At 37.0% G+C, this 6,832-nt stretch overlaps 1 long non-coding RNA gene across 1 annotated transcript; it reads left to right on the top strand.

The window, feature by feature from the left end:
- Positions 1-781: 781 nt before the first annotated feature.
- On the top strand, positions 782-5,923 carry LOC124902434 (uncharacterized). Its single transcript, XR_007062154.1, has 2 exons — positions 782-829; positions 5,681-5,923. It is a non-coding gene; the product is annotated as an uncharacterized LOC124902434 (long non-coding RNA).
- Positions 5,924-6,832: the final 909 nt, after the last annotated feature.

The raw sequence follows: 6,832 nt of genomic DNA, 5'->3' as shown, positions 1-6,832 counted from the left end.
TTCCCCACCTTCTTTCATGCACAGATTCCTTTTCAAGCAGTTTTATCATATGTACTAATCAGGGTTCCCAGAAAGAGGGCTGTAAATAGACCACAAGAAATACCTTTACTAATACTGGAATCTCCCATGGACAGACACACTGGTCTGCAGACTAAGAGAATTTAAGGATTAGGAAGCCACTTAAGTATAAGACTCTAATTAGCCAATTTATCCTTCCATTTGCTAATGACCAAAAATAAAACTTTAAATATGTGTGAAGGGTTCTAAGTAACTAGAAATGTAAGTCTATTTCCTTAGAAATCATTTTTTTCTCTTTAGCTTCCATATAATCCCAGTTATGAAGATTGGTTCACACATTTCATATCTAGCAGAAATGAATGCCCGACCTTAGCAGTAAGTATAAAAACAGACAAGAAAACTCTTCTTTCTTTTCATTTTCCACTCATTTCTAGCTTCGTTTCCACTCTAGTTGTTGTCCTTAGCTGTACCTTTCCTGTTGCAGCCTTGGCCTGATCCTACTTGCCACACTTTCTCCAACCTCCCCACTATCTTTAGTCTGTCTTTGTCCTCAGATCCCCTCTCCTTCCGGGATGATCTCCAACCCTGCTGCTCCTTATGCCAAACCACTGGGGAAGCACCATCAACAAGTCTTAGTGACAAGGACATTGGTCAAGGGCAACCTGTTCAGACGTTTCAGGAAATCAGGACAAAAACCCAGTCAATCCTGGGGTTCCCTTCATACTTCAATACTGTCACCAAGAAAACACAATGCAAATTGCATGTAATCTGAAGAATCAGGAAACCCAGGAATGCACAGGGCACTCAAAAGGTAAATGACCACATATGCCTTGGGTTTAGGGAGATATTCATCTGAAGATGTATTTGCAAGATGTCACGTCTGCATTAAAGCTGTAAATTCTTAAATCTGTCTAAACTGGGATTCTTAATGTCAGGGGGAGGCATCTTCTGCTTTGAGTGTTTGCAGTAGACTAAGGTACAACACAACAGCCTGAAAGTGTTCATGCAGACAGCAGAAGGAACAATTCATTACATTGGAAGAACCTAATCCTTCTAGATAAGTATACCTTTGTATACAAAACTTACATTTAAAGAAAAAAAAAGTTAAAGTCCATGAGAGGAATTGCAAATTCACCTGCTTACGGGTAATTTGTCAGGAGGTAACAGAAATGACTGGCTATGGGCACGTGTTATGGATGGGAATGGGGGAACCATAGGGTATTAGAGGGGAAAGATCCTATATAGGAGCAGTTGCTGCTTAGCTCCAGCCATTTGCTGTCATGCAATAACATAAGCCTAGTATCAACCTCTGTTTCACTCTTTAATTGTAAAATTTCCCAGATTTTAAAATGCTACAAAGGAAAAAAAAAATCTGTAAACTTGCACCAATCTAACCTGTTACATTTTAGAGAGTCATGCAAATTTTTATCTTTCCCAGCCAAACAGCTCAACAAATGAGCGGCATCAGTAAGGTTTAGATAACCCTCTTGGCAACATTTCCAAATTTCAGATACTTCAAACGTGACCTCTGGCTCTTTACACATGCCCTTCTCTCTCATCGACGTCAGCGGGAGTTAAGAATTTATCAGATCAATTATATCAAGATTTTCAAATGTCAGATCTTCTTTTCATCTACCCTATAGCAAACACATTTATTTCATAATCCTTTGAAATATGGGATTTCAGCCTAAACAAAGAACATTGAATTGTTTCTATTTAAGAAAATATTTATATTAATCAGAGGCCAAAAGAGACTTATGTGAGTTGACCAACGATCAGTTCTCTGTGAGTTGCATTAAAAACGTTTGACATCAAGTTAGGTAAAAGTGTCAGGAAGTATTCTTAAAGCTTGGCTGCTCAGGAAGGATTTAGGGATGTGAGTGTTCAGTTGAGCATTAGGACATTATTGGTGTTTTTCCCCAGCAAGTGTTTGGCAGATACTGTTTCCTCAGGATATGATTGTCCAATTCCTTCTTTAAATTTAAGCTAGTATTTTTATTAGGGCACATGGATTAGAGAGGATCCATGTGCCCTAATAAAAAGAGAAATTGCTTGGCAAAAGATAAAATTCAAACACTAAGCAACATCTTAAATTGAATTGCCTTGAAATAACCTTACAACAAGGTTATAAAAGTTTAAAACATTTTAAGGGTCAAAAGCTCTGAATCCCATGGCATTTCTAATTAGCAAAATTCAGTTCATAGAGGGGAACTAAGCTCTCAAAATTAAATCCAGCTGACGCTCCCAGCGCTCCTAACTAGTACACCTGACTGAGCCATGGTCTCCATTTTTTCTATAAGACATTTGACTGACGTTACAATGAACAATTACACTTAGTAAGTTATTTTCTAGAATGTCTACTCACGGGTTTTATGCTTACAATGAGTTGCTTACATTTTTCTCAAGTCAGTTTATGCCAGTTTACTATTAGAATTACACAATTAAATACACACAGACTGAGGAAATATGAATGTGGAAAGAGAGACTTTGGTTTCTATAAAAACCTAGTTGAGTACATTAGAAAGAGTTCATAAAAGCAAGTTTGAAAGAAAATTAATCAATAAGATGTGGGTGAGATATCCATGAAAGAGTAGGATACATTTGTAAAACTTTAGACAGACTCTGCTTTCAGACAGCTTTACAATGGTCTTTAACTTCAAGCGCTGCTCTTAATAAATGGGAACTAGTAGAAACAGTAGAAAATGTATTGTGGGTATAATTTATACAAGAAAGATGAGTGAGCATTCCAATCAGTGTACCTACACTCAAAGGAAAGGCACTGGCTTTTCATCAGAAAAAATTGACAAATAACATAAATACTTAAAATATGTGCATCTTATTTTCACGAATCTCTTTTCAATTACTGACAAATTTATCCACCAATGGCAATCACATTAGATAATAGAGCTGCTACTATGGACATTTCAAATAAACCTTATGTTTAATCTAAACAAGGTAATATTTCTACCAAATGTATGATGTTTTAAACGCTTGTCAACATAGAAATTATCTCCTCAACATACAATCATGTCAACCTACTGCAAAGTTTACATTGCAGCGGACTAAAATCAAGGTAATGCCTATGGAAAATTCTCCATTGTGAGGTGGCTTTTTACTCCATGATCTCATGAAAACTTTTATGTTTACAAATAATACAAATTGATTAAATGACTTTATATTTCTAAAATAACTCTGTTATAGAAATCTCTGAAATACTAATAATTAGGGCAAAATTTCAAGATTTGGTCATCATTAGTAATATTATGTACCAGACACTTTGCTAAACACTATCCAAGTTTGTATGTTTGTTTTCAACAGCACTTATTTTATACATGAGAAAATTAAGTTCCAGAGATAATAAAAAGTTGTTCATGGTCACTGTGTGTGATGTATGGGGCAGAGCCAGAGCTTGGCCTTCAGTCTCTTGAGCTCTAAAGCTGGTGCTTATTGTCGTTATGATGTTATCAGCAGTTCTACAGAATATGCCTCTTTGATGTTACTCAACTAAAGGCCCCTAGATTCTTCAGGCTATCCAGATTTTATCTTTAAAAGTTACCGCATACAGTTTTGAAATCACTGGTTGTAATGTGTAATTACATAATTTTAAAATACTAGATAATTCTTCACAAAATTTCTTCAGAACACAAAGGTATTCATACTCATTATTAATAAGAAGTACTTCCAAGGAAGGATATAAAGAGAATAATTCTGGGATTTTATTTTAATTCGTTTATCCACACATCTACTCTGGGCCTTATGCTCAGCACCGAGAACACAAAGGTGTCTAAGACATTGTCACTGGATTTAAGAAACACATGGCCTGAGTGAGGAAGAGACAATGAAGTAGTTGTAACATAATCTGACAGCAGTTCTAACGGAGATTCCATAGTAAATGCAGTAGAAACTAGGAGATAGTGAATGTGCAGGAGGGTCACCTAGGCAGGGGTAGCTGACACCTCCCACATAGAGGAGTCTTTTGTCACCGACATTCTTTCAGTTGCTGGTACCTGATGCTAAGAAGAAGCAGATGATTTTACTCAATTTTGATATTAACTTTCTACAGAGTGCATTTACTACTTGCCGTCTCTACAGAATGAATTCACTACTGCCCGCACCCAGGTGGAGCATTCCCACCACACTGCCCTCTCTACCCTAGGGCGCCACTGTGAATTTGAAGTAGGTCTTGCCTAATAGCAAAAATGGGGACAGTCATTTTAGGCAGAGAGAGAAGTCCTATATTTGAACAGGCATGGTAGTATGAAAAAACAACTAGGCAGGGCAAGAAATTTGTTATACCTAAGCACAGGATACAAGGAACCAAATTACTGTAAGGATAACCTAAAGTCAAGCCTGAATCTTAGCGGACTGGCTCAGGAATCTGGATTTTATCCTATAGGCAATGGGCAGACTGGGTGGTCTGATGTCTCTAGAGTCCTAAGTTTAGCTCTTGGCTCTGCCATTTAGCTACCACACAATCTCAACCTGTGAACCTATTGAACCAAGGAAATGACATAAGGCCTAACTCATAGTGTTGTTGTGTGGATTAAGGGAGATGATGAATGCTGAATACCCTGTATGGTACTTGGAAATGAGTGGACAACACACATGAGCTTATTGAAGGAGTTTAAACAAAAGAATGATGTAATTGGATCAGTGACTTAGGGAAAAAAGACACTCTGGCAACAGTGTGGAGTCAGGAAGATAAATAAGAGATTTATTTTTGCAAAACTACAAGTAAGGAATGGGGAACGTCTGAATTCTAGGGAACATTAGTGGTACTTGAAGCAGGCAATAGGTTCTAGGGATATTTGGGGCAGAAAGGGTGGACTAAATACGAGGGAGGGAAGAGCTATTTTATTAGCAAACTAATAATCAAAATGATTCACATAATGTGTGTGTGTGTGTGTGTGTATAAATGATTTCTTCTACATTAAACTCATTTATTTTTACATCTGGGTTGGGAATCAACTATACCAAATCCAGTTCCAATTCAGCGCTAGCTGGCTCTATGACCTGTGCCTCAATTTCTTCATTCATAAATATGAACAAAATGTTCATTCTACCCACACATAGGATTTTGAGAAGAATGAGGAACTGTATTAACAATAATTGCAAGTTCTATAATAGGTATTGAATTAATAAGAGTGTAGTTGTCCATGGTTATATACAATGTTTTGAAGGAAAAAGTTAATAGGAGCTCTATGCTATTTATTGCACCTTTTCTTTAAGTCTCAGATTATTTTGAAATAAAAAGTTAAAACAATGATAAAGGTGTGAATACATCTGAAACCCATGTGTGAATCTTAATAGCTGTCATCAGACATGCGGTTTGCGGAGAAATGGGCCTATTCAAGCTGAGTTTAAATGATGTTCCCCTGGTGGATTGAACGACTGCCCAGTGACACACTGACTCTTGGAAGCTCCCTTTTGGCAGCTTGCTGAAATTTGCTCTTGCCAAACATTTCTTTCTTTTCATGTAAGAATGACAGTAAACAGCCAATTCAAACAAGAACTGTTTGGCTTGTTTTAAAGAAGCCTTTGGAAAACTGCTTTGAGTTGCCATTTGTCATTGCCACCAAATCCTGGGGAAGTGGGGGGTGAAACTGCAGTGTCATTCCTTAGCCCATCTCCAGGAGCTTTTCTTATTTGTTCTTTCACACAGATCAGAAGGTCCATGTGGAATCTTCTTGGAACCGAAATCGCCGGCGCAAGAAGGGCAGATGAACATTTTTTAATTGAAAAGTAATACGGTTTAGCAGCTTCCATTTCCCTTTGAACAGAAGACTTTTTTGAAGTTTTGATTAATAGGGCACATTAGTAAGAAAATAAGATTTATGTGTGTGTTCTACCATGCTGAGGTTATAGGTATGAGCACAGAAAAAAAATAAAAATAGTTGCTGCCTATTGCATGTTTATAATATGTCAGCTACTGGGCTATGGATTTTCCACATATAGTATTGCTTTGTTTCCTTCTAATAAACAAACAAGCAAACAAAAATACTTTACTAAAAAGTAAACAGGAGTTTAGCATGAAGCAACTTACTAAGAGTCTCTACTTTTAAACTCTTAGACTAAGTAGACTCTTTTATTTCAGAACAGTTATTCTTATTTAACACGATATGCGGCAACTAGTCGGGGTAGATCTGAGTTGTACTTAAAGTAAGAAAATAAATACATACAAACAGCCTTCATCGAAGTCATCTATCATTGCTGTGAAACTACTGCAGATGAGCCCATCTTACAATCACCCACTCCCCCATCCAACGACAGGAAAAATATTTTAAAGCACCAGCACTGACTGAAGCAGAGCCTCTCCCAGCAACATAATCACTGGATTACAATTCTCCTCACACACATGTGCAAAGGAAGGTCTTTCGAATAGAGCAAATACTCCATTAAATACTCAATTAAAGCCATTTCCAGAACGTAAAAGAATGTGATTTAGGTCACACACATGATGTCAGAACTATGGGTTGAATCTCATCAATGCAATGAAGCAGAAGAAAATAAGATTGAAACCCGTTGTTTGGCTTCATGTAGCTAAAACAACTGCCTGATTAACTAAATTTTTCTCTTTCAAACCCGTTGTCATGGTACTGTGCAGAGAGAATCTTAGACAGAGCCTGCAGAAAACAAAAAATTTGTGACATCTTGCCCTGACCCTTATTTTGCAATTATATTAGGGCTGTCATTCTGGGATGACGTAAAATCACTACAGTCTCTTAAAAAATCTCAGAAATTCAGGAGAAAATAGTCAAGGCATCAGTTCAAGGCCATATTTTAAATTATTTTAAAGATGGCTTTATTATTTTCA

Source organism: Homo sapiens, chromosome 10 (genome assembly GCF_000001405.40).
Source record: "Homo sapiens chromosome 10, GRCh38.p14 Primary Assembly".
Taxonomy (NCBI): Eukaryota; Metazoa; Chordata; class Mammalia; order Primates; family Hominidae; genus Homo; species Homo sapiens.
Note: the sequence above shows the minus strand (reverse complement) of the source record. Positions and strands in the feature narration are given on the sequence as shown.